At 40.2% G+C, this 27,353-nt stretch overlaps 1 protein-coding gene and 1 long non-coding RNA gene across 4 annotated transcripts in view, besides 9 other annotated features; one reads left to right on the top strand and one right to left on the bottom strand.

Annotated features, from left to right (window-relative positions):
* PDE7A (phosphodiesterase 7A) overlaps positions 1-4,784 on the bottom strand; it is a 127,731-nt gene extending 122,947 nt beyond the window's left edge. For 2 of the 3 annotated variants that reach the window (NM_001242318.3, XM_011517540.4), the window contains exon 1: positions 4,091-4,784. In NM_001242318.3, the coding sequence (NP_001229247.1) occupies positions 4,091-4,228 (138 nt within the window). In that variant the 5' untranslated portion in view covers positions 4,229-4,784. Of the gene's footprint in view, positions 1-1,193 lie in introns of all 3 variants that reach the window. The other variant, XM_017013538.3, reaches the window with a different exon arrangement.
* Positions 3,345-3,914: an enhancer, noted in NCBI's record as "H3K27ac hESC enhancer chr8:66752860-66753429 (GRCh37/hg19 assembly coordinates)". NCBI's record gives its function as "activates a minimal SCP1, AML or CMV promoter by ChIP-STARR-seq in naive H9 embryonic stem cells {active_cell/tissue: H9 hESC(naive)}" and the evidence as "EXISTENCE:reporter gene assay evidence [ECO:0000049][PMID:30033119]".
* Positions 3,637-3,706: a silencer, noted in NCBI's record as "silent region_19246". NCBI's record gives its function as "represses an Ori minimal core promoter by ATAC-STARR-seq in GM12878 lymphoblastoid cells {active_cell/tissue: GM12878}" and the evidence as "EXISTENCE:reporter gene assay evidence [ECO:0000049][PMID:35858748]".
* Positions 3,915-4,483: an enhancer, noted in NCBI's record as "H3K27ac hESC enhancer chr8:66753430-66753998 (GRCh37/hg19 assembly coordinates)". NCBI's record gives its function as "activates a minimal SCP1, AML or CMV promoter by ChIP-STARR-seq in naive H9 embryonic stem cells {active_cell/tissue: H9 hESC(naive)}" and the evidence as "EXISTENCE:reporter gene assay evidence [ECO:0000049][PMID:30033119]".
* Positions 4,187-4,446: a silencer, noted in NCBI's record as "silent region_19247". NCBI's record gives its function as "represses an Ori minimal core promoter by ATAC-STARR-seq in GM12878 lymphoblastoid cells {active_cell/tissue: GM12878}" and the evidence as "EXISTENCE:reporter gene assay evidence [ECO:0000049][PMID:35858748]".
* Positions 4,484-5,053: an enhancer, noted in NCBI's record as "H3K27ac hESC enhancer chr8:66753999-66754568 (GRCh37/hg19 assembly coordinates)". NCBI's record gives its function as "activates a minimal SCP1, AML or CMV promoter by ChIP-STARR-seq in naive H9 embryonic stem cells {active_cell/tissue: H9 hESC(naive)}" and the evidence as "EXISTENCE:reporter gene assay evidence [ECO:0000049][PMID:30033119]".
* Positions 4,727-4,776: a silencer, noted in NCBI's record as "silent region_19248". NCBI's record gives its function as "represses an Ori minimal core promoter by ATAC-STARR-seq in GM12878 lymphoblastoid cells {active_cell/tissue: GM12878}" and the evidence as "EXISTENCE:reporter gene assay evidence [ECO:0000049][PMID:35858748]".
* PDE7A-DT (PDE7A divergent transcript) lies at positions 4,886-6,051 on the top strand. The gene has a single exon (NR_186488.1). It is a non-coding gene; the product is annotated as a PDE7A divergent transcript (long non-coding RNA).
* Positions 4,897-4,956: a silencer, noted in NCBI's record as "silent region_19249". NCBI's record gives its function as "represses an Ori minimal core promoter by ATAC-STARR-seq in GM12878 lymphoblastoid cells {active_cell/tissue: GM12878}" and the evidence as "EXISTENCE:reporter gene assay evidence [ECO:0000049][PMID:35858748]".
* Positions 5,054-5,622: an enhancer, noted in NCBI's record as "H3K27ac hESC enhancer chr8:66754569-66755137 (GRCh37/hg19 assembly coordinates)". NCBI's record gives its function as "activates a minimal SCP1, AML or CMV promoter by ChIP-STARR-seq in naive H9 embryonic stem cells {active_cell/tissue: H9 hESC(naive)}" and the evidence as "EXISTENCE:reporter gene assay evidence [ECO:0000049][PMID:30033119]".
* Positions 20,421-20,621: a silencer, noted in NCBI's record as "peak7056 fragment used in MPRA reporter construct". NCBI's record gives its function as "represses an SCP1 promoter by STARR-seq MPRAs in K562 erythroleukemia cells {active_cell/tissue: K562}" and the evidence as "EXISTENCE:reporter gene assay evidence [ECO:0000049][PMID:32103011]".

A 27,353-nucleotide genomic window follows, 5' to 3' on the forward strand; every position in this document is an offset into this window, starting at 1 on the left:
CAAAGGAAAACTTGGTTAGGGTGGCAGTGTTACAAACGATTAAAACAACAGCAGCAACAAAAAATTACTACAGGCTGAGTATCACTATCCAAAATGCTTGGGATCAGGAGTGTTTTGGATATCAATCAGACTTTTTTGGATTTTGGAGTATTTGTGTATACGTCATGAGATACCTTGGAGATGGGACCCAAGTCTAAACACAAAGTTCATTTAGATTTTGTATACACCTTATAAACATAGCCTGAACATAATTTTACACACTCTTTTAAATAATTTTGTGCATGAAACAAGGTTTGTGTACACTGACCCACCAGAAAGCAAAGGCGTCTCATCACTCATGTGGACGATCTTAACACCCATGTGGTTGATCTGTACTTGTTTGGCATCACCATCATTTCTGACTCTGAATTTATATGCTAGTGATAAGCAATCATTTCTCACACTTACACAAATGTACTTAACAGTAAACAGTACAACATACCATTAATACAGTGAGAAAATAATGTGTTTAGGGTAACTAGGCAGCAGAGCAGCAGCCCCAGAATACCTGCATCAGCTGCTCAACAACAGCAACAAATAATAGCAGGCTGTCTCCGTGTCGGCACTCAGAAAGTTTCCCTTTGAGGGCATTTTGGATTTTCAGACTAGGGCTGCTCAGCCTGTAATTCTTTACATTTTCTCAACGCATAACACAAGGAGCCTCACTCACAAGAAGCTATTCTATGAGTATATATTTGTGAAATATTTCTTAAAAAAAAAAAAAGACAAATGATAACTTAGCAACAATATAAATTAACAATAGATTTCTAAAAATTAAAACTCAAATTTCTAACCCATATAAGATTTGCTTCCAGTGCATAGAAAATCTGACTGAATAATTCTAACTGCAGTGCTTTGGCATACCCATCAATGTACTCACTCAACTTTCACATCTACCAAGAACCTACCTATGCAAAGTACCACAGATATGATGGTGAATAAGACACAATTTCTGCCTTCACAATATTTTTTTTCCAAATATGAATGCTATTCTGAAAGACAAATCTTTAAACTCAGCTATCAACAATAGATATCCAAAAACGACAAAGAACAGGCTTCATCTACTTTATCATTCACTAATTCAAAAAACTCACATTAACCATTTGAAATAGTATACATCCTAGTTTAAAACAAAAAATTAATGCCTCATTTACTTGGCATCCTTGGAAGAGCTGGTGTTCCATCCACATAAATGAATTTTCCAGGTAACTCAAGCTTGTCCATTTCAGTTCAGCATCAATACTTAAAACTCTTTGGCATGGAAATCTTTTTAAAAACAAAAAAACAGTACGAATCTTTCAACTTTTAAAAACAGGCTCTATTAACATTATTCTGACTAAAAATTATTGTGTTATACAACACTCAAGCCCCTCAACTAAATGTCCCAGGGTGCTTGTAAAAGTTGCTGGCTTCTAAGAGTTTTTCTTCTGATCCCTGGCTTTTGGTGTGTCTGCTGTCAACCTTTGCTGCTGTCAGTGTGAACTGACTCTGGCAGCCTCCCACCCCACTTCAAATTTGCTGCTACTTGAAAACAAGTTGTGTCAGAACTTTGCCTAAAACACACCGGCTTTAAGACGATCTCCAAATCAATTTTGGTCACTCGGTCTTTTCTGTGTATTCCTGGAATCGTTATGGTCTGCAGTTACAAGTTCCAAACCAAGTTTTGGATAAATGAATTTGTGCTGTACCTTCATGCTCCATATTGTTTTCATATTTAAAACTGATGCTCAGTCAGAGATAATTTCATTACCTATTCATTCATTCAACAAATATTTATTAAGTACCTACTATGAGCTGGGCTCCAATACTATGGTGACAATAAGGAAATGAAAAGGAAGGTTGCCAGTTTTAAGCATATTTTAAAGTACAAAAACTGTAACTATTTTACTTAATGTCTTTTTTTTAAAAAAAAAAGGGTTTTTTTTCCTAAGTATCTTAAAATTACAAAACCAGTTAAACTTTTTATAACTTCTGTACCTTCAGGCTTACGAACTAAAAATTTAAGGGTAAAGAAAGCATTTGATTAACCAAATGTTTATTTTACAAGTTCTGAGCAGGATTCCAAGGTTTTCTGTCTCCTTTTTTTTTTTCCTATTACAAATTCACATCTAGGCCTAAAGAAATCAATATCAACATATGCTTTATTATTAAATGATATGCAAAGTCTTGATAATGATAAGTATGTCCATCTCTGCATCCACTAAGTTTACATTTACCACAATGTTAATAGAAAAAAAAGGGTTAATTGAGGAAAATTTCTGTCCAAAGTTTAAGAAGTTCCTGTATACTTCACTTTGGGGTTCAGAAATTTTTTTAAAAGTTGTAAGGGTTAGCAAAATATGGTGTAATTCTACAATATTTGCTTCATCTGCCACAATCATATTTTTAAAATTCCATTACCCATTTAAACCTAAGGCTGGAAAAATGAATCAAGAAGTGGAGCTTAAAATTGGTCTCTGTGGATTAATTAAGACATCAGGAAAAACCCCTGGCATCAGCCTCATTTTAATCCCTTGGAATCTTCCTTCTCATTCATTTTCTTCTCAGAGAGCACAAGAACTTTATTCATGTTTTATAATTGTATAAATAATCAGTGATTGCCTTTATTATTCAGACATAACTGGAAATGAGTTGCTAGTCATGTGCCTGCTGATCTGAGGAAGTAAAATAATATTTAGAAGTAAAAAAAGTTACTACCATTAAAAACCTTTAACTACTACTATTAAAAACCTTCTTCAGCAGTGCATTAAGATTTCCTCAACATTAATTCTGGAATCTGAACATGCTTTAAGTGGTACTAAAAAGGCAGATCACAGGTCTAACCTTCAAAATAAATAACCATGTAATATTATTCTAAATGACACATTATAGTAATTTTCACAAGTCTGCTCTGACCTCATTAGCATACTACCTTGTGCTGTGAAATAAGTTTTAGTTTAAATAAAAAGGATTCAGAGAGAGACCCAAATATAGGCTCTTGCTCCTTCTACAAACACTTTAGGCAAAGAAGTAAATGACAAATATTTACTAGACACTTATTACACGCAAAATTTCTACCAGGTGCTGTCCACACTACCTGCACACACACACACACACACACACACACACACACCTTGCTCAAGATACAATATAACTGGAGAGAGAAAATATACTCCCATAAAAGATAGTATTAGCCAATAGGAAAAATATATTTGATTAATAAAAGTGATCATTAGCCATAACTTCTGGCAGCAGAAAGTGAGGGCACTCAGTTCAGATGTAAACAAAATTCTTTTCACCTCTCTGTTTTAAGTCTGACAATCAAAATTAGCCAAACCTAAGGAATTGGGCCAACGGCATCACCACAGGAAAAAAACAGAAATGCTCAGGAGCAACTGGTATTGGACCACTCAAAGTCTTCCCATGAGTGTACATCAGTAGTTTCTCTCCTAAAATCTCCTTATCAAATTAAAAACAAAACTGATTCCTGGCTATGAACTTTGCAGACTTGTTCCTCTGATACCCAGTACAGCCCAGCCACAGAAACGAAGGAGTCGGGGAGACTACAGCAACGGGGCATCTAGGCCTATTGTTCAGAGGGAACCGCAGGACCAGGCGAGCGCCGCGGGGCGCGCGGGAGCTGGGGGAGGAGAGGCGCGAACCCCGTACAGTTGTGTGTATGGGAAGGGGGACAGGTATGTTGCAAGGCGGGGGAGCACAGGTGTACCCTGGGGCCACGACTAAGGAATAAAGACTCAACTTCCAGACCGAAAAAGACAAGGGCGGTCATTCCTGAGGCTTAAACTGCTGGGCACAGAGGGTGACGAGCCTGGGGAGGGTCTGATGAGAGGATCCCGGAACCCACCAGGGTGGGGTTTTGGGGAGGCTGGAGAACTGAGGGGGGACAGCCAGGAATATTCAAAGAAAAGGCTCTGCAATCGAAAGGCCAGCCTAGAAATCCCCAGACAATGGACAATGCGCGGGCTGGGGGTTGTAGAGGAGGTGAAGCTGGGTGGGCAGAGGGAAACAAAAGAGAGAAGCCCTCAAGTGTGGGCCCGGCGGCGGCGATTACCTGAGAGAGCTGCCGGGGATTGGGGCAGCCGAAGAGAGCGGAGCTGGAGCTGAAGCTGATGGCTCCTCGGCGGCTGAGGACGTGCTGGGGGACCGGCCTGTCCAGGGGCAGTACCGGCAGCTGGTAACACACTTCCATTGAATACGCCCGCCCTGCCTCCGCGCGGCGCCCGCCCTGCCGCGGCCGCCGGCCCCTGCAGTGGGAGGGGGCCGCGGCTCGGGGGCTCCGGGCCGAGACGGGGGCAGGGCGGGCGGGGACCGACCCCGGGCTGGGAAGCCGCGCTCACGCCTCCCCAACCCCAGCCCTCCGCTCGGGCCGCCGGCGGGAAGGCTCCGCGGCGGCCGCGGCGCCAATTACCAGGACCGGCGCGCGCCTCGCTCCAGGCGAGGGGGGACGGGGTGCAAGCGGGGCCAGCACAGGCAAAGTCGGAAAGGGAACCCCGCCGCCCTGGGGCTCCTCGGCCGAGAGGAGCAGGTACCCGGACTGCAGAGTTCGAGCGCAGCACGAACGGAGCAAAGCAGTGCAAGAAAAGACAGCTGGAGCCAGCGGCCAGACCCAGGGCGCGCGGGACTCAGGAGCAGCGACCAGCTCGGGCCGCCGCCGCCGCCGCCGCCGCCGCCGCCGGAGTCCTGCTCCTCCCCTCCCCCGGAGCCTGACTTCACTCCGCCGCCGGCGCGAGCCCGGCGTAATTCACACTTTGCAGCCGCGGACCTTGCGCCAACCACGGCTGCCGCCACCGTGACGTCACGACGCCGCGCCGCAGGCCCAGCGCCCCGCGCCGCCGCAGCGCCCAGGGAGACTGGCAAGCGGCCGAGGGCGACAGTAGCCTTCCTTGTGTTCTGCACCCTGGGGCTCTGTTGGAGTCGCCTCCCGACAAACGTTTTCCCCCATCTATCTCATCCGCAGTTCCCTTCGCGCCCCGCCGTGACTCCCTTCCCTAGCTCCTCGCCAGCCAAGGCGCGTGCGCACGAGGCCCCACCGTTTCGGGGCATCCCCCCGAGCGCTAAATTCGTGCGTTCCAGCGCGCCTAGGCTATGGGGTGTGCTCGTCCCGCGCTAGAGGCGGCGTTCCGGCCTGCCGACCCCAGAAACCCAAAGCACCCGGCGCAGTCGCCGTCCTCAGCCCTGACCGCGGGGTCACTGCTGGCTTTTCCCTCCTTGAATTCCCATTCATGGGTTTCGCTAGAGACCGCTGCGGCAGTGACGTCAGCGGGCCGCGCGAGCACCGTCCTCCTGGCTACGTCACTGCCAGTCCCTCGGTGGGGCCAGGCTCCAGCGCTCGCCTGGCAGATGCGGCCCCGGGGCCATCCCGAGCCCGAGGGGCGGAGAGGGGAGCCGAGAATTCGGAAGTGAGAAGGGGACCCGGAGACAAAGGGAAAAAACCAAGACTGAGAAAGAAGTGAGAGTATGGGTGAAAAGAATGAGAAAGGATGATACTGAGAAGACAAAGGGAAAAAGTAGACTGCATGCCCCTCTACCAAAAGTGTTGTTTGTTGACTTTCGATTTTTCGAAAGCGAGAAAAGATAAAGAGCTCTTGACCTGTTTTGTAAGCTAGATGTGTAATTTGAGTGTTCATTTTGTCACATTTCTCACTAAACGGTCAAAGCTTTCAGCATCAACTAATTGTTTCTAATGCATTCCAGCCTTTGGGATTTCAGCCTGAACAACCTCTCCCCTGCTGGCAAAATTATTGCTTTGGTTCAGTTCTTAGGGCATCCACCCTTCTACTGATTTGTGATGACTAGCCACTGACAAGGTGGAAGGCCTTTGAAAGCACTGCATAACTTCCACTGATGATGAGATCACATACCAAATGCACATAATCCGGTAAATGAGCAAAAGTAGACCTTTTATCATCTTCCCATGGCATGTTTCTTTTCTCTTGCTAAAACTTTATACCTCCTACGTGGATATTTTTCTACCTGTCTGCTTTCTACTATTAAAAGAACTATGACCTCCAACGTGGTCTTGTGGATTTTGTCTTCATTAGATGATGTAAGCTCCCCTTTAGTACAGCTGATCCAACTCATCTTTGAAATCCAAATTACTCCCACAACTTCTAGTAGATGTATTGAGCATCTACTATATGCTTGGGATTATACTGAGCAAGTTTTCCTACGTTATCACGTTTACTTCTCACAAAAACCTCATGAGGTAATTATTAGTACCTAAGTTGAGAATAGGCTCATGGAAACACGCTTGCCCTAGACCTTACACAGGTAAGTGGCAAGAACTAACCTCAAATAATGTTTGAATTCTGTGTAAATCTAACCATCCAGGAGGTGATATTGGTGTGATGTTACTGTGTGCCAAATAAAATAACTATATTACATTTAATAACATCTAAGAGACTCAGGTTGATTAAATCATTTAATGACACTCAGAGCACTAAGTAGATAACTAAAAAATGTATCCCCCTTCAACATAGTTGGTTACTATTGTGCACCTGTGAACCAAGAACCATGACAGGCATTCTACTTACAATGTTTAACTTTACCCAACGCAATAGCCAAGTAAGTCAGGTAATTTTATCCTGATTCTACAGATGAGGAATCAGATTACAAGACCATAAGTCATTTGTCCCAGTGAACTCTGGTCTATGATTTCAGAGCCATGCGTTTTCCACCATACCACACAGTATCTCAAGACCAGAGTTTTTCAGCTCTTTACAGTGTTCTTTACAGCACATTAATCAGGTTATTCAGAGAAACACAACCCATAGGATGTACATATAGAGAGAGGGAGAGAGAGTTATTTTAAGGAATTGGCTTATGTTTTTGTGAAGGCTGGCAAGTCTGAAATCTGTAGGGCAGGCCAGCAGGCTGGAAATTCAAGTAAGAGTTGAAATTGCAGTCTTGAGTCTGAAATCTGCACAGCAGAACCACAGGCTGAAAACTCACACAGGGTTTCTACATTGGAGTCTTGATGCAGACCTGAGTCATCCTCAGGAAACCTAAGTCTTTGCTCTTAATGCTTTCAACTCTTTGGATGAGGTCCACCCACTCCATGGAGAGTAATCTGCTTAAAACCAATGGATTATAAATGGTAGTCACACCCACAAATATCTTCATAGTAACATCTAGACTAGTATTTGACCAAATGACTGAACATCATAGTTTAGCCAAGTTGATACATAAAATTAACTATCACAGGAAGCAAAAGTTAAATATAGAAATGCTATTACTTTCTGTAACAAAAAGAAAAGTACCTAAGAAAAAAGTATCAAAAACTGCAAAATTCTTATAAAGGAGGCTTTTACATGGTTGAAATATAATAGCCGACTTGAATATTTAGAAAGTATTCGCATGAAACACAAATATCTTCACATTATGTGCCCATTTAATCTTTCCAACATGTTTTCCTTCCCCAGACCTCCTTGTCACCAGTTTTCTAATCATATTCCTTCCGAGGTCCAAACCATCTATCCAAGCAGTCAGATACTGCTCATGAATCAGTATAGACCTCCACATGTAGCTATTCCCCTTTCCAGACAAAATGAACAACCAGGTATGCAGCTCCAAGTTCTGCTGACTGGGAGTATTTCTCTTCACCGCCTCTAGAACCACCACAGAGAGGGGCCATCGTGTTGTAGCTGTCCACTGTCTGCACCATAAAATGCAGAACTATCTGTAAATCAGTTGCAAATATTTTTCTCAACAGGTTATAGGGGACCACATGCCTTGGATGCCTTCTGGCTCCAAGGTTTCTGCTGAGAAATTAAATAATAATCTCATTGAGAATCCCACATATGTAAAGAATTACTTTTCTCTCATTGCTCTCAAAATTCTCTTTGTCTTTTTTTTTTCAGCAGTGTGATAATGTCTTGGTCTGGGTCTTTTTGGGTTTGTCATACTTGAATTTGGCTGATCTAAGATATCTAAACATGATTTCTATAAATTCAGGGAGTGTTCTGCCATTGTTTCTTCTAATAATCTCTCTGCTTCTTTCCCTTTTCTCTTTCTGTAAATACCATAATGCATGCATTAGTCTGCTTGATGGTGTCACATATGTTCCTTAAACTCTGTTCACTTTTCTTTACTCCTTTTTATTTCTGTTTCTCAGAATTTGTAATTTCACATGTCCTATAGTCAAGTTCACTTATTCTTTCTTCTGCCTATTCAAGTCTGCTGGAGAACCCCTCTAATAGATTTTTCAACTTGGTTATTGTATTTTTCAGCTTCAGAATTTGGTTCCAGTTTATAATTTCTATCTCTTTGCCAATGATTAATTTTGTTTACATATTGTTTTCCTGATTCCACTTAGTTCTCTGTCCATATTTTCCCTTAGCTCTTTCAGCATATTAAGGACAGCTATTTTAAAGTATTTGTCTAGTACGTCTAATGTCTGTGTTTTTTCAGGGAAGGTAACTGCTACTTTATTTTCTTTTTGAGAGGGACATGTTTTTCTGGGTTTTTGAAATATGTCTTGTGGGAGTTTTGTTGTTATTGCTGAAAATTGGGCAGTTGAGAAAACAGATACCTCCCCCAGTCTTTGCACACTGGCCCTGTGCCAGCGAAGTTTTTCACTAATTAGGTGGCCCATGGTTCTAAGCCTTAGGATCAGCTTCAGCTTAAGGAGAAAGCTTAAGACCTTACAAGTTCTTGTATGAGCATGCATCTTGCTCGGGCCATTGTGTGGCTTTTTAAATTTCTCTGTATACACAGCTGCTTTTTAATGTCTTATTTTCCAAATGAGTTTCTCCTTGAGGCCTTTGGTGGTCTATTATATATCTCTACCCATAATGTCTTACCCCAGGTGTCTACGGGCCAGTCTCCCTGCAACTTTCCCAAGCAGCAGCCACTGCTTCTCCCTGCTTGAGATCTGAGTTAGGCAAAGCGGAGACCAGTCCTTCAGGCATTCCCTAGTAGGTTAGAGCATTACAAATAAAAGTCTGCTCTGCTCCTACTGATTTATAGTTTTGTTTGGTACTGTTTTCATCTGGCTTTGGTGTCAGGTCAATATTTGCCTCATAAAATGAGCTGGAAAGGTTTCATTACAGTTCTATTTTTCTGAAAGTGTTGGTGTACAAAAGTGGGATTACTTCTTCCACAGATATCTGATAGGGTTCACTAGTAAAACTATCTGCGACCTGCACTTTTTATTGTAGGAAGATTTTAAATGACTAATTCAATTTATTTACCTGATGAATCTTATAAACTAAGCTCTATATAACCCCAAAAGTGGTCTCCAAGGTTATAGGCCAAAATGTCAGAAGTGGTGGGATTGCAGTTTTTCCTTTTCTTTTAAAATGTTATCCTAATCAATTATGTTTGCCAAATTTTCTAAGATAAACCTATATTATTTTATAACAAAACTTATTCATAGCCTAGGCAACATGGTGAAACCCTGTCTCTACAAAGAAAATACAAAGATTAGCCAGGTGTGGTGGCATGTGCCTGGAGTTCCAGCTACTTGGGAGGCTGAGGTGGGAGCATAACTTGAGTCCCGAAAGTCGAGGTTGCAGTGAGCTGTGATTGTGCCACTGCACTCCAGCTTGGGCAACAGAGCAAGCCCCTGTCTCAAAAAAAAAAACCCAGTTATTTATTAAATATATAAACTGTGAGTAAAAATAAAATGTCTATAATGTGATGATAAACACACAATACAATAAAAGAGTAATTAAAGAAAAAATTTCACTTGAGGGTTAGTTCCCTAGACTATTTAGTAGTCCAACACTAATCAACAAGCACTTCTATAGTAGTACACTAATGAATAACCAGTCAGAAGATTTCTAGCTAAACACAGCAGATTGTATACAGGTATTTGTCTGTTGCCTCCTCAAACTCTCCTAAATGACACTGAAAGAAGAAAATAAAGCATTAGTTCAGGACAAAGAGAAAAGAAGGAGAAATGAAAACTGATAAGAAGTTCATGTTTTGGAAACTGAAGGTGATGAGTAAGTTATACATGTCTTAGCAAAACAGAAAGCTAAACCCCAAGCTCACAAGTGGAGAGGGCTACATCCAGCTGATATCTGCTGTGGAGACACAGGAAAGTATCAGAAATTAGAGACCCCACCCATCTTGCAAGGCAAGGATCCACGCGGGCTGAAAAAGGAAAGATCATTGAAGTTCTTTATAACAAGTGGTCAGAACCTCAGATCTCCTCTCCAAGGCTGTGCAGACAGGCAACTTGCTCTTCTTCACCTCAGCAGAAGATTGGATGGACTGACCCAAACAGGCTCTGGACTTGGATTCACCAGGCAGAGCTGAGGGTGAGGTGAGAGTACCATATGCAAAGAGGTGGCATAAGTGAGAGTCTGCATACTTGGTGACAGCCAAGTTTATATCCTCCAGGCAAGAGCCTGGAAGATTCCTCTTTCAAAAAAATGGAAGTTTTGCTGGTGCTGTCAGTTGGGAGTCCTCCGACCAAATAAATGGGTCCACACATAATTCTAAAGTAAACCCCACCCATGCACAGGGAGCTTGTAAACAGCATCTCATTCTTAAACATGAAAGAACAATCAAGCATTATCAGAATTTTGAAAAATCCTGTAGCATGAGAGATGATAGAAATGAACAGAAAAAAGAAACAAGGGGAAACAGAAACAATACAGAAAAATCCCTTCAAAAAACCAATAATATTCTTAGAGAGATAAGAAATTATAAGGTATAAGGGCAGAATGATATGAAACAAAATAGTTCTTTTAAAATAAAACTATAATAGCAAAAAACTAAATATTTAATGAATGGGTTAGATGATAAAGCTAAATATATCTTCCCAAAAGTAAAACAAAAAATTAAAGATACAGATAATGTGAGAAAAGACATTAAAATTAAAGTCCCAGTCCAGGGGGCTAAATGTCCAAATGATAATGATTTCAGAAAGAGAGAATTGAGAAAATCATAGGGAGGAAATAATTTAAGAACATTTAGCAGAACTGGAAGGCACATTTCCAGATGGAGATTGCCAAGTCTGTGCTTAGAATAATGGACAGAGAAAAGATAGACACCAAGGGATAGCGTTGTGAAATTTTAGAATAATGGGGACAAAATTAAGAACTTAAACATCTTCCAGGGAATATACGTAAAAACAGGCCACATACAAAGGACCATGAATCAGCATAGCAAAGACCATCTAAACAGCAAATTTGGAGCTAAAAGGTAATGAAAGCCTTCGAAATTCTGAAGAAACATGGTTTTCCATCTAGGAATCTGTATACCTGGCCATACTATCAATTTAGTGTGAAAGCAGAATAAAGATAATTTTCAGACACTGAAGAACTCCAGTATGTAGCTCCCACTGCACCTTTTCTCAGGAAGCTATTAGGTAATGTACTCTAGAAAGAGGAGGAAGGATACCACGAAAGGGAAATACAACAATCAAGCAAACAGGGGCGTCAACAGAGGGGAGAGGGGAAGGAAGTCCTAAGTGATAGTCCTTGAGTCACAGCACCAGAGAAGACCGAGACAGCAACAAGGCCACATGTGAGCAGGCGGGTGGAAGCTCTGGGAAGAAAATGGAACTAATAAGTGACCTGTAGTAGCTAAACCCAGTGAGAGAAGCTCTGGCAGAGAGTTTGGGAATACATTTATTATGAAGACATAGAAAATTAAGCCTATAAACTTCAATTAATAACACTGAGAAAAACAAGCTGTAAAAGAAATTTAATCATCATACATTATATGGCTAGTTTATAAATAAGCTATTCATTACATATTCACAACAATATAATCGCTGAATATTGATTTAGCAAAAATATGGTGTTACAGCTAAATATATTGAGAGGTGTAAGGGGATGAAAGGTGTGTGTCTCCTTGGGCGATATTAGAGAGCCAAATTTTCATCTTACACAGTAGAATATTAATAGATAACATAAAAAATAGAGATGTGAGATATATATATATATATATATATATTTTTTTTTTTTTTTTTTTTTTTTGAGATGGAGTTTTGCTCTTGTTGCCCGGGCTGGAGTGCAACAGCATGGTCTCAGCTCACCGCAACCTCCACCTCCTGGGTTCAAGCAATTCTCCTGCCTCAGCCTCCCAAGTAGCTGGGGCTACAGGCGCCCGCCACCATGCCCTGCTAATGTTTTGTATTTTTAGTAGAGACAGGGTTTCACCATGTTGGCCAGGCTGATCTTGAACTCCTGACCTCAGGTAATCCGCCCACCTCAGCCTCCCAAAGCGCCAGGATTACAGGTGTGAGCCACCGTGCCCGGCTGACATGTGATTTAATAATATGAAACTAAATCCTTGTAAGAAACAACTAAAAGCAGTATATATTCTTGCCATAGCAGAGCAAAAATTGATAATGCATAGGGATGGGACAGGATGCTGCTAGGTTTATTATGACATCATCAACGTTGAACTCTAAAAGCTATGTACATGCATTATGCTTTTCATTCAAAAAACAAAAATAATCATATTATGTTGAGTTGTGTCCTGCAAAAGACATGAAGAAGTCCTAACTCCTGGTATGTGTCACCTTATTTGGAAATAGGGTCTTTGTAGATGCAACCATGTTAAGATAGGGTCATGCAGGATAAGGGAGGACCCTATATCCAATGATGGTGCCCTTATAAAAGGAGGGAGATTTGGAGGCACTCATACATGCAGGGAAGAAAGCCATGTGAAAACAGAGATGGAGACTCAAGTGGTAAGTATACAAGCCATGGAACACCAAGGACTGCCAGTAACCACCAGAAGCTAGGAAAGAGGCATGATCAGATTCTCTTCTAGAGCATTCAGAGGGAGCCTGGCCCTGCCAACACCTCCATTTTAAACTTCTGACCTCCAGAACTGTGGGAGAATACATTTCTGTTGTTGTAATTTACCCAGTTGATGGTCATTTGTTATAGCAGCCTTAGGACACTAATATAATCATGTTAATTCTGTGTATCTGAATTGGAGCAGGAGATGTTTCACAAAGAGTCAATTCTTCTAAATTCATTTCTACACTTGAGGTTAAACAACACAATAACAACAACAACTAATCAATTTAGTTTTTTTTAAGGCACAGTAGAAAATCCATCTGTTTAATTAAGGGATGTGGGAGGACTAGCAATATGGAATCACAAATTTTAGTTGCTAGTTATAAATATTGAAGTGAACGCCTGTCTGAAGTTGACTTTCTGTTTTTAAAAACATCCCTCAGTTTCCCTGCTATCTCTGAAGAAGAATGTAAAGAACAAAGGGCCTTTTACCTCACACCCCATACAATAACAACATAAAATATTGAACAGAATAAATCTTACTCAAAACAGAAAAATCTTTTATAGTGAAGCTAAAAATCAATTACTAAACAATTTTTGCACTAACAAATATCTCTGAACTTAATTATAATTTTTATATAAAATAGTGACAGATTTAAAGAAAGCACCTGTATTATTTACATTTTCTACACTCTTAATTCCAGTGCCCCCTCTGTCTAAATATCTGCTTAAAAGTAGTTTAAATAGGGCCAGGTGCAGTGGCTCATGCCTGTAATCCCAGCACTTTGGGAGGCCAAGGTGGGTGGATCATGAGGTCAGGAGATCGAGACCAGCATGGCCAACATGGTGAAACCCCCTCTCAACTTAAAAAAAAAAAAAAATTAGCTGGGCATAGTGGCACACACCTGTAGTCCCAGCTACTAGGGAGGCTGAGGCAGGAGAACTGCCTGAACCCAGGAGGTGGAGGTTGCAGTAAGCCAAGATCGTGCCACTGAACTCCAGCCTGGGCAATAAGAGCAAGACTCCATCTAAAAAAAAAAAAAAAAAAAGTAGTTTAAATAACGAAATATTTAAGATCTTTGAAGCCAATTGGTTATAGTGTGTTTTAATGATGAGGTAGGAGGCAGGACTAAACTCTGGAGGTGGGGCTCGGACATGGGACCTAATTGAAGACTAGCTAAAATAGGGCTGGGGTGAAGCTGCATTCCATGAGACATGCCCACCAGTGTGCCATGTTAGTTTACCATTGCCATGCCAATGCTCAGAAGTTACTGCCCCTTTCCATGGCAATGACCTGATGACCTGTAAGTTATCATTCTTTTCCTAGAAATTTCTACAAAGCACACCCCTTAATTTGCATATAATTAAAAGTGGGTATAAATATGACTGCACAACTGCCCTTGAGCTGCTTCTCTGAGTACACTGCCTACAGGGTGGCCCTGCTCTGCAAAGAGCAGTACCTCTGCTTCTGTACACTGCCACTTCACTAAAAGTTGCTGTTTAACACCACTGGCTTACCCTTGTATTCTTTCCTGGGTGAAGCCAAGAACCCTCCTAGGCTAAGTCCCAATTTTGAGGCTCACCTGTCTTGCATCAATGGGTTGAATTATGGTTGCCCCACCACCCTGCCAAAAAATATATATGTTGAGATCCTAACCTCCAGTTCCTCAGAATGTGAACTTATTTGGAAAAAGGGTCATTGCAGATGTAATGAGTTAAATTAAGATAAGATCACAGGATTAGGATGCACTATGAAGATGTCCTTATAAGAAGACAATGATGGCCGGGGGTGGTGGCTCATGCCTGTCATCCCAGCACTTTGGGAGGCCTGGGCAGGCAGATCACTTGAGGTCAGGAGTTCGAGACCAGCCTGACCAACATGGAGAAACCCCATCTCTACTAAAAATACAAAATTAGCTGGACGTGGTGGTGCATGCCTGCAATCTCAGCTACTCGGGAGGCTGAGGCGGGAGAATCACTTGAACCTGCAAGGCGGAGGTTGCGGTGAGCCAAGATCGTGCCATTGCACTCCAGCCTGGGCAATAAGAGCAAAATCCCATCTCCAAAAAAAAAAAGACAATGATGTGAAGACAGCATAATCCCCTAACACATTATGACAGATGTCCTCATGAGAAGACAGCAATGTGAAGGCATAGACACAGGGAGAATACCACGTGAAGATGACACCAGAGGCTGGATTGATGCATCTATGAGTCAAGGATGGCAAGTATTGTCTGCCATCACCAGAAGCAAGGAGAGAGGCATGAAACAGATTCTCCCTCAGAGGTGCTGGCAAGAATCAACCCTGTTGACACCTTGATTTTGGACTTCTGACCTCTATAACTGTGAGATCATAAATTTCTCTTGTTTTAAACCAACCACTTTGTGGTACTTTGTTGCAGAAGCCCTAGGAAATTAATACACAGGGTTTTAATCAAAATTTTTGAAAAGTCTTTGATTTTTTTAAATTTCAAATCAATTTTTCATTCATTTGTTTATTCACCAAATATTTATTGAATGACTACTATCTGGTAGGCACTAGAGATGAGATAAAGACTGGCCCCTGCCTTAATGATGTTAAAATTTTAATGGAGGAGAGTGGAAATAAACAAATAAATACAGTCATGCATTGCTTAATGACAGGAATACATTCTCAGAAGTGTCCTTAGATGATTTTGTCATTGTGCGACTGTCATAGGTTAGTATAACTAACCTAGAAAGTATAGCCTACCACATGCCTAGGCTACATGGGATAGCCCATTGCAGCTAGGCTCCAAACCTGTAAAGCATATTATACTGAATACTGTCGGCAATTGTAACACAATGGTATTTATGTATCTAAATATATCTAAACATAAAAAAGGTAAAGTAAAAATATTGCATTAAAGATTTTTAAAATGATGCTCCTGTATAGGACACATCACGAATAGAGCCTGCAGAACTGGAAGTTGCTCTGGGTGAGTCAGTGAGTGAGTGGTAAGTGAATGTGAAGGCCTAGAATATTACTGTACACTACTGTAGACTTTATAAATACTGTACACATAGGCTACACTCAATTTATTTAAAAAATTATTTCTTCAATAATAAATTAAACTTAGCTTACTGTAACTCTTTTGCTTTATAGACATAAAGTTTTAAAAATGTTTTGACTCTTTCATAATAACTATCAGCTTAAAACACACATTATGTAACTATACAAAAATATTCTTCCTTTATATTTATTCTACAAAGCTTTTTCCTATTAAAACATATGTATATTTTTAACTTTTTATAGTTTTTTGTTAAAATCTAAGACACTAACACACACATTAGCCTAGGCCTACCCAGGGTTGGGATTATCAACATCACTGTCTTCCACCTCCACATCTTGTCCCACTGGAAGGTCTTCAGGGGCAATAATACTCATGGAGCTATTATCATCTAAGATAAAAATGCCTTCTTCTGGAATACCTCCTTACCTCTCAAAGGACTGGCCTGAGGCTGTTTCACAGTTGACTTTTTTTTTAATAAGTACAAGAAATATACTCTAAAATAATGGTGAAAAGTAGAGTATAGCAAATACATAGAGCAGTAACATAGTCATTTATGTAAATATAAAATATGAACTGTACATAATTGTGTGTGGTGTACTTTAATACGACTGGCAGCACAGTAGGTTTGTTTACACTGGCGTCATCGTAAACACATGAGTAATGTGTTGCACTATGACGTTCAGACGGCTACAACATCACTAGGAGACAGAAATTTTTCAGGTCCATTAAATCTTATGGGACCACTATGGTGTATGTGGTTCATTGCTGGCTGGAACGTGGTTATGCGGCACATGACTGTGCATGACATGACATAATATGACATAACAAGCTAGTGTTAGGTGCCATGAAGAAAAATAAAACAGGGAAGTGTATTAGAAAGTGGGATACAGAGGTCAGGGAAGCCTGCTTTAAGAAGATGGCATTGGGCTGGGCGCAGTGGCTCACACCTGTAATCACCAGCACTTTAAGAGGCCGAGGCCAAGGCCAGTGGATTGCTTGAGCCCAGGAGTTTTAGGCAACATGGTGAAACCTCATCTTTATGAAAAGTACAGAAATCAGCTGGTTGTGGTGGCACGCCTGGTGGACCCAGCTACTCCGGGGGAGGAGGTGGGAGGATCAACTTGGGCCCAAGTCAAACTCTTAGAAACAGAAAGTAGAACAGAGTTACTAGAGGTTAGAGAAAGAGACAAATAAGAGTTAGTGTTTAATGGGTATAAAGTTTCCATGTGGAGTGATGAAAAAGTGCTGGAAATAGTGGTGAAGGTTGTACAACACTGTGATTGTACTTAATGCCATTGAATTGAACACTTCTAAAGGACTGAAATGGTAAATTTTATGTTAGGAATATTTTACCACAGACCATTCCCCTGGCCCACCCCAGGAGATGTAGAAAGGAAGGGCCAAATATGTTCTTTGAGAGTTCACTTCTTTGGCCCACCACTCTTATCTGAGCTCTGGAATGAGACCCCCGCGGAGGCAGGTCACCACACTGGCTTGGAAGGCACAGCCCCTCCAGTCTCCCAGTGCTCGCATTCTCACAGCATGACCATGATTTTCCTTTGCTACAGGTGCCAGAGCCTGTGATACATCTCATCACAGTTCCTATCATACTTTTTCCCTCTACTGTTTTTCCAGAAAGCCTTGAAAAAACTTTTCAGATATTCTGACACTTACTTTCTCTTTTTATTTCAAATATTTTGAGTTGACCAAGAAAAAAGGAGTCATTCACCAAGTCGAAGTTTGTTCACTTATTATTTTCCTTGACACTTTCTATACGTGGATTCTTTAATTCAGATTGAGCCTATTGTAAGGGACATGAATGTTACCAATCATGCCTATACACTTTGTTGGCAACAATATGTCTTGAAACTCAACTCTTGGTGTCTGTTTCCTTGATTAAAGCAATCTATCCAACCCCAGCAGACAAAATAAAATAATTGCAATGTATCTGCTGGCAATTATGATAAACCACACAGACTACAAGCCTCTCCACAAGTAAAACTGTAGTACACACAAGGGAACAGATAAACCATAAGGCAAACAAAAAATAATACAATTTAAATGAAAGGAATACTTTACAAGTAGAAGATTTATTTTTTTACATAAAATATCTAAAAAAAATTCTGAAACAAAGCCACAAGAAACAAATTACTTTTACTATAGACAAGTTCCAGTCACATAAAAGAGATAACTGGAAGAATTATTTTTCATAACCTATGGAGTGTTTCACCTGCCAAAGAATCCTCAGTTGACCCTCCTTCACTCCAACAGTGAGATCACACTGTTCAGACCTATAATAAATGTAGCAGTGATGAAAGTTCACGAAGAAATAGAAATAAAAAGTTTGCACATGCATGAATAAAATTTGACCCAGTTTAAATGTCATATCCTTAGTGAAGCCTTTCCTGAACTCCTCAGCTGGAAGAAATCTCTCTTATGAAGTCCTATAGGACCATCTGTACTTCTCTTAAGGTGCCTTCCTTTCTGCATGTTGTATTATATTTCTTCATATACATATTTGGATCTCTCTGGACTCCTAAATTCAGATGTTCTCCAAAGGCCAGTGCTGAAGCCCCTTGTTTTGTCAGTCTACATTACATCCACACACACACAGAGACACACACATATCCCCCCACCAAGACCATCCTCCCCACTGCTTCACAATCTCTTGCCTCTGTGAACATGACTTCAAAATCTCTATTCTTTTTCCCAAAGTTCAGTCGCTAATTTCTGACTGCCTGCTAGATTTCTGTACCACAGTGCCCCTTTAAATCACAAGCTCACTAAGTCTACAATGGAAATGATCACCCTCCCTGCCCAACTTTATTCCTCTGATCTCCTTGTGTTAATGACAACAATACCATCCTGTTCAGTTGGGTGCAAAACTCCCCAACCATCCTCACTGCCCACATCCAATCAGTTACAAAGCCTTGCCAACTTCATTTCTGTAATATTATTGTAATTTTAACCCTTTCTACTTACCCCATCTCTCTCTGCCCCATACTTCAACTACTACTGCATCTTGTCCATCACTGTATCCACAGTATCTAGAACAGTACTTTATCTAGAGTGGAAAATCAATAAATACAAAATAAAATAATGAATGGATGAATGAATAAATTTCCCACCTCAATGCCTTTTCTCAGGCAATTCTCTTATCTTGGAATGCTCTTGTACCATATTGCCAGTATTTGCAGTATTCTTCAACATACAGCTCAAACACTTGCCCTCTATGAGGTTTTCTCACAGAGACAAATTTCATGTGTCTGTATTAGTCAAGGTTGTTGGTTGCAAACAATAGTAGTCAACTCCGATAATTTTGAAGAAAAGAAGAGCAAAAATGATTTATTGAATTAATGTGGTGGAGACTCACAAAATGGATGGCTGAAAAGCAGGTGGGGTTATCTGTAGGCCAGACAGAAGCATCTGGCAAGGATGCCACCACCCTTATTGTTACCATATCCCACTGCTGCTGCTAGGTCTAGGAGCCAATACGATCTCTTCTTCCTGTCCTTCATCTTTCACCACTTGCTTAAGATTTGAAGTCCAGGGTGGGTACATACATTTGCTAATCCTAAGTTAAGTGCCCACAGTCAAAATGGTAGGGTTCAAGGACACGGAATATCTGACTCCTTGACTTTCATAGTAGATGGCAAGACTCTGCCTCTCCCAAAGACCCATACAATGGGAGAGTCTCTACATTTACAAAATAATTAAGTTACTGGGAAGCCAAAATAAAGCAACAAATGTCCACTGCCCTCCAGCATACACGTCTCCACTCTTCTGCAAGATTGTAAGTCCCATGAAGGCAGAATTTGTCTGACTCATTTTTGTATTCACTGAAGTTCCTAGAAAAGCACCTTGCACTTCTCCTAGTTGAGATAGTTCCTTTCTGATTACTTCATCACATCCATCTCATCAAAAAATTTCTAGTTTAAGCTACTCCATGCCACTCGAAATTTTTCAGATTCTTAAAATTTTGGTCGTTTTTGTTTTGTTTTGTTTTGTTTTGTTTTGTTTTGAGATGGAGACTTGCTCTGTCACCAGGCTGGAGTGCAGTGGTACAATCTTGGCTCACTCCAACCTCTGCCTCCTGGGTTTAAGCAATTCTCCTGCCTCAGCCTCCTGAGTAGCTGGGACTACAGGCGCCCACAACCACACCCAGCTAATTTTTGTATTTTTAGTAGAGATGGGGTTTCACCGTGTTGGCCAGGCTGATCTCAAACTCCTGACCTCAAGTGATCTGTCCACCTTGGCCTCCCAAAGTGCTGGGATTACAGGTGTGAGCCACGGTGCCTGGCCTCGGCCATTCCTTTTATGGCAAAAACCACAGTTACTTTTGCACCAACCTACTATTTGTCAAATAAGAAAATGAATGATGCTCCTTGTAAGCAAAGAAGCCACAGTGTTTTACATACATTAGTTTTCTCACTCACTTTTGACCAGTTTGTTAGCTGTTTTTTGCTGTAGCACTTAATACAATTATGAACCCATTTAAAACTAATAAAACACTCAAATTCTGTTATTGAAAGGGAAATCTTCAGTTCCCCCACTTAACCATACACCTTTATTTTCTGTTCTCAGTTCCTGGGGCTAAGAAACCCTACTTTATAATTTTTCTCAATCAAATTTCCATTTAATTACTCAAAATAGCTAAGAATAAAAACTTCAATCTATTTCTTAAACTATACTGTGCCTCATTTAATTTCTCACTTCTTGTTATAAGCATTGCTTTCTTCTTGCTGAAAGTTCATGCACCGCGTCGCTCCTTTAAACCTCAAACTCACTAAGTCTAAAATGGAAATGGTTTTTTATCATATCTATTTTGTTTGAAAGTTTTTTAGTTTAAGCTACTCCATAGCACCTTCAAATTTTCAGACTGATCACATTTCTGATGTCTGCTTTACATTTTTGTCTTCTCTAACACCTCCTTTGATCTTTATGGGCAGCAACCATTTCCTGGGTTCACTGAGTACCCAACACACAAGTAATATTTGTCAAACAAACTGATTAATAAGAAATGAGAAGTAGTACAGCTTAAGAAATTACAGGGATGCAAAGGATTATAAATCATGCTGCTGTAAAGACACATGCACACGTATGTTTACTGCGGCACTATTCACAATAGCAAACACTTGGAACCAACCCAAATGTCCATCAATGATAAACTGGATTAAGAAAATGTGGCACATATATACCATGGAATACTATGCAGCCATAAAAGAAGGATGAGTTCATGTCCTTTGTAGGGACATGGATGAAGTTGGAAACCATCATTCTGAGCAAACTATCGCAAGGACAAAAAACCAAACACCACATGTTCTCACTCATAAGTAGGAATTGAACAGTGAGAACACTTGGACACAGAAAGGGGAACATCGCACACCGGGGCCTGTCGTGGGGTGGGGGGAGAGGGGAGGGATAGCATTAGGAGATATACCTAGTGTAAATGACGAGTTAATGGATGCAGCACACCAACATGGCACATGTATACATATGTAACAAACCTGCACATTGTGCACATGTACCCTAGAACTTAAAGTATAATAATAAGAAAAAAAGAAATTACAGGGATGTCTGACTCAAGCACATAAATGGTAGCAATTATATTCATACTATCATTATTAATACAATGTGGTTCAGGGGTTCTCAAAGTGTGGTTCATAGACTCTAGGGTGTCCTAGAGACTCTTTCAGAAGGTCTGAAAGATCAAAACTCTTTCCTAAGAATACAAAGGCATTATTTGCCCTTTACACTGTGTTGACATTTGCAATGATGGTATGAAAGAAAGGGTAAAACTGCTGGTTCTTAGCACAGAGTAAACTGTGCTACTAGTCATTTCATTCTTCACTGCTATGTACTCACATTTCAGAAATGCCAGTTTTAGCTTACAAATGTCCTTGAAGTAAAGATTATTAGTTTTATGATATGTCAACCCTTGAGTCCACATCTTCTTAATATTCTGTGGGATGAAATGAGAAGTGTGTGTATAGCACTTATGCTGCTCGATGCTTCTCTCAAGGAAAACACTTGTGCCATTGTTTGTACTGGGAACTGAAGCAGCTGCTTTTTTCATGAAATACCATTTTACCTGAAACAATGACTGACAGACAAATTAGGGTTATTAAGTCTTTGGTATTTAACAGACATTTTCTCTAAAAGGGATACAACTTTACCTCAAGGTAAACAACTGACAGGATTTGTCATCAATGACAAAGTCCAAACTTTCAAGTGAATATTAGAATTTTGGAAAATATTATCTACTACCATGAGTTTAATTCTTAATGTATTTCTGATGAGATCAATGGTGATTTTAATGAATATAATTTTTTATATTGTGTAATAAAATGTGCCAACATTTGGAAAATCTGCATAACAAAATGAAACAATATTTTTTAAATGATGAATGTATAATTTGCAAAAGTATGCAATGACAAAAAGATACATTCAGAACTCAAGACAGCCCAGTGGATTTTAATGTAACAGAGTAAGAAAAAAACATTTGTAGTAAAGTTTCAGATTTTACACTGCAACAAACCTGTAATAAACTACCATTTGTGAAGTTTGGGTGTTGTATCAAAGAATATCCACAATTATATGAAAAGCCTATTAAAATAATACCCCCTTTTCCAACTGCGTATGTAAGTGAGTTAGATTTTCTTCACATAAGTCAACCAAAACAATATATTGCAACAATTTGAATGCAGAAACAGATATGTATATTTAGCTGTCTTCTATTAAATCAGATATTAAGGGTATTTGCAAAAATGTAAAACATTGCAACTCCTTTCACTGTTTTTTTTGTTCTGTTTTGGAAAATACAGTTTTTTTTTTTTTTACAAAAGCGTTATTTATGTTAACATGTAATAGATTTATTATAGTTATTTTAAAATAAATACTTTAAAAATTTAAATTTATAATATGATAAATATTGATAGATATAACTCACATAAATGAGAGCTCTTTGAGATCCACAATATTTTTTTGTTATTCAATATGACCTTTTTATTACTCTTTTAAAAATTCATAGACTTTATTTTTTTAGAGCACTTTTAGGTGTATAGAAAAATTAAGCAGGAAGTAGAGTTTCCATAAAACTCCTCATTCCTACACACACACACCCACACACACACACCCCAATGCTGCCCCCCAACAATTTCCTGTATTATTAACATGTTGCATTAATGCAGTATGTTTGTTATAATTGATGAACCAATACTGATACAATATTATTAACCAAAGTCCACACTTTACATTAAGGTTCACTCTTTCTATCAAAACCCATTCTATGGGTTTTGACAAATATATAATGACATGTGGCCACCATTATAATATTATACACACTAGCTTCACTGCCCTAAACATTTCCTGTCTTCTACTTACTCATTCTTCCCTCCCTCCCCTTGAACTCCTGGCAACCACCGGTCCTTTTACTGTCTTACCTAGTTTTGCCTTCTCTAGAATGTCACATTGGAATCATATAGTATCATATAGTAATCATATAGCCTTTTCAGATTGGCTTCTTTTGCTTAGCAATATGCATTTAAGGTTTCTCCCTGTTTTTTTTCTAGCTTTTTGCAGTGAATTATATGCCATTGTATGAATGTTTCATGTTTGTTTATTCATTCACCTATTGATGGACATCTTGGGTGATTTCAAGTTTTGGCAATTATGAATAAAGCTGCTATAAACATTCATGTGCAGGTTTTTTGTGGACATATGTTTTCAACTCATTGGGGTAAATTCCAAGGAGCACCATTGTTGGATTGTATCGTAAGAGTGTGTTTAGTTTTTAAGAAATTGCCAAATTGTCTGCCAAAGTGGCTGTACCATTTTGCATTTCCATTCACAATGAATGAAAGTTCTTGTTGCTTCACATTCTTGCCAGTATTTGGTGTTGTCAGTGTTCTGGAGTTTAGCCACTCTAACAGGTATGTAATGGTATCTCATTGTTGTTTTAATTTGCAATTTCCTTATGACATATTATATGGAATATCTTTTCATATGCTTATTTGCCATCTGTATATTTTGTTTGATGAGGTGTGCAGGCCTTTTGCCCATTTTTAATTGGGTTCTTTGTTTTCTTATTGTTGAGTTTTAAGAGTTCTTATATATTTCTTGGATACCAATCCTATATCAGAATGTGTTTTATAAAGATTTTCTTCCAGTCTGTGGCTTGTCTTTTCATTCTCTGAATATTGGCTTTTACAGAGAAGAAGGTTTTTTCATTTTAAAGAAGTCCAGCTTACCTTCTTTTCTTTCATCAACCATGCATTTGGTGTTGTGTCTAAAAAGTGATTACCAGCTCAAATTAACTTAGATTTTCTTCTTTGCTATCTTCTAGGACTTTTATAATTTTGCATTTAGCTCTACAATCAATGTTAATTTTTATGAAGGGTGTCTAGATTCTTTTTTTTTTTTTTTTTTTTTTTTGCATGTGGATGTCCTGTTCTAGCATCATTTGCTGAAAAGACTATCTTTTCTCCATTGTATTGCCTTTGCTCTTTTGTCAAAGATCAGTTGACTATATTTGTATGAGTCTATTTCCAGACTCTATATTCTGTTCCATTGATGTGTTTGTCTGTTCTTTTAACAATACCATACTGTCTTGATTATTGTAGCTTTGTAGTAAGTCTTAATGTCTGGTAGTGTCAGTTCTCTGACTTTATTTTTCTTCTTCAATGTATTGGCTATTTTGTCTTTTGCCTTTCTCTATCAAACATCTTAAAATAAGTTTGTTGATGTTCACAAACTACACTTGCTGAGCTTTTTAGTAGCATTGCATTGAGGCTATAGATCAAGTTGGGAAGAAATGATATTTTAACAATATTGAGTCTTCTTCCATGCACATGGAATATCTCTCCATTTACCTAGGTCTTTTTGGACTTCTTATCCAAGTTTCATAGCTTTTGTCATATAAATCTTGAACATATTTTATTTAGATTTATACCAAAGTATTTCCTTGTTTTTGGTGCTAATATAAATGGTATTGTGTTATTAATTTCAAATTCCAATTGTTCATTACTAATAATTGAACATAACCTTTTAATTTGACTTTTATTTCTTCTTCTGCAGAATTTCTTCGTTTCCTCTTAAATAATTTTTTTAAGTTCTTTTTTTGTTTCTTGAGATGGAGTCTCTCTCTGTTGCCCAGGCTGGAGCACAGTGGTGTGACCTCAGCTCACTGCAACCTCCACCTGCTGGGTTCAAGCGATTCTCCTGCCTCAGCTGCCTGAGTAGCTGGGACTACAAGTGCGCACCACCACACCTGGCTAATTTTTCTATTTTGAGTGGAAATGGGGTTTCACCATGTTGGCCAGGCTGGTCTCGAACTCCTAACCTCAAGTGATCCACCCGCTTCGGCCTCCCAAAGTGCTGGGATTACAGGCATGAGCCACCATGCCTGACCCCCCCCTTAAATAATTTTTAAGAGTGTAAAGGAGTCTTAAGGTCACAATGTTTGTGAACAGTAGTGTGTTTTGGAATGAGCATGGTCTTTGGAGCCATGTGGAATAAACTAGTTTTCAATTCTATCTTTAACACTTATTTTCTCTATTGCTATAGGGACCTTGTTCAGGTTTTCTTTGTCTCAGTTTACCTGTGGGCAAAATGTGGTAATAAAAAATAACTACTACAGAGGGCTGTCTTTAGGATAAAAGTGATAAAATCTGGAGTGTGTTTGACACATAAAAGGAACACAATTAATAGTAACTATTGATATTTATATTGTTTTGACCCAGTCATTTTATACTGGAGAATAAACCTCAAGAAAATAACTTCAAAGGTGGTATTGGGCTGAAAGACATTTTATAAAAAGTGTTTATATCAGCATTCTAAATAATAGTAGCAACATATCCGGCTACCATATTTTGACATTTTAGAATCCAATTATGACCATAAGAAACCCATAAGGCCTGTGTTACAAACCAAACGTTTTTTTCTTCAAGGAAAGAATTGTTGTATTACTGATAAGAGTCGTTAAAGTGATTATGGCGAATCATCACCTTTCACCTTAAATTCCGGCAAAGCAATGAAGATCGGTATGCTGTAGACGCTGCCTTTCAAAATGGAAACTTCTAGAAATGGCACAGCAAAATTCTCAAGAGAAATTCCCTCTCTACCCGTGGAAGTTCATTCCAACTGCTGATTTGCCAGACCCAGGTTTTAGTGGCCTTCTGAAAGATTCTCCCCGGAGCCTGAAAGCTTACGGGAATGAATAACTCCTCCCTCCTCAGGCCCAGTCCCAAGGCACAAGGCCACTTGTACCAGCAGTGTGCATCAGTAAGATAGTAGAAGCAGGAAGAGAGCTGGCCAGAAGACACATACCCCTGAAGATCGAGGCGGAGGCCATCTGAGTACTATGCAGCAGTCACATCAGACTGGGACACTTCCTGTTTACAGAGGACTATAAAATCCCTGCCCCATCCTCATTTGGGGCTGACGCCATTTTAGGTCTCAGCCCATCTTCACCTAGGCACTTATTAAAACAGCGTGTTGCTCCACACCCGCTGGTGTTGTCTGTTGGTGGGCTCTCAGGGTTTGAACCAATACAAGAGTCTTTCATCTGGTGCCGAAACTCAGTAGAGGCTTTGGTCCATGTCCCCCAGGGACCTACCCCTTCACCTGGGAGAGCAGGCCATAGCAGCCAGGCAAAGGAAGCTCTGCAGCCTCCAGCGGGCCTCTCTGTGCACGCACATCGGTCACTGATATCACCTACTGGTTTCTCTGGTCCAAAAATCCAACGTTGGTCCAAGAAGACTCCAGAGCGTGCCAGGCACTCGCTGATCATCTGGTCTTAGGGGGACGCCTCTAAGCCATTTGATCCCATTCCGGCAACGAAAAAGGCAGCAGTGACAATCGCTCCTTTTATTGTCTCCCTCTGGCTGTCCAGGACGGCCTCCTTTTTCCTGTTCTCTGGAGCCTACCCGCTATGGGAAATTCCCAGTCTTCTATTCCAAAGGACAGCCCTCTAGGCTGCCTCATAAAAACCTGCAAACCTTAGGCCTCAGGCAAGATATCCACTCTAAGCGCCTTGTCTTTTTTTGCAATTCAGTCTGGCCACAGTACGGGTCCAAATGGTTCGCAAATGGAACATTCAACTTTATAATTTTAACTGACTTAAGCAATTATTGTTGACGACTGGAAAAATGGGGAGAAATTCCTTATGTCCAGGCCTTTTTGCACTCAGATCACAACCCGACCTCTGCAATTATTGCTCACCTATTCAAATCCTTCTCCATTCTCGCTGCGCAGATCACCTTTCTCCTCCCCACACCACCTCTTTTTCCTCATTAGATCCAGTAGACTGCTGTCCACCTCTCCCAGCCCCTACCTCTCCCTCTCAACCGTCTTTTTTAATCCAAGCCTCCTCTTTATCTTCTCAGCTGTGATCTTCTCAGCCACCATCTTCCCAGCCGCCATCTTCCCAGTAAGCAGTATTAACTTCTTTTCCTACACTGTCCCCTCTTCAGGACAATTCTAGTATTGCCTGTACCCATTCTCCTCCCCCACCGCCCTCTCCTAAGGCTTGTAAACCCATCCTGCCACCTTACGCCCCTATCCTCCACTGCCTGTT

This window comes from Homo sapiens, chromosome 8, assembly GCF_000001405.40.
Source record: "Homo sapiens chromosome 8, GRCh38.p14 Primary Assembly".
NCBI lineage: Eukaryota > Metazoa > Chordata > Mammalia > Primates > Hominidae > Homo > Homo sapiens.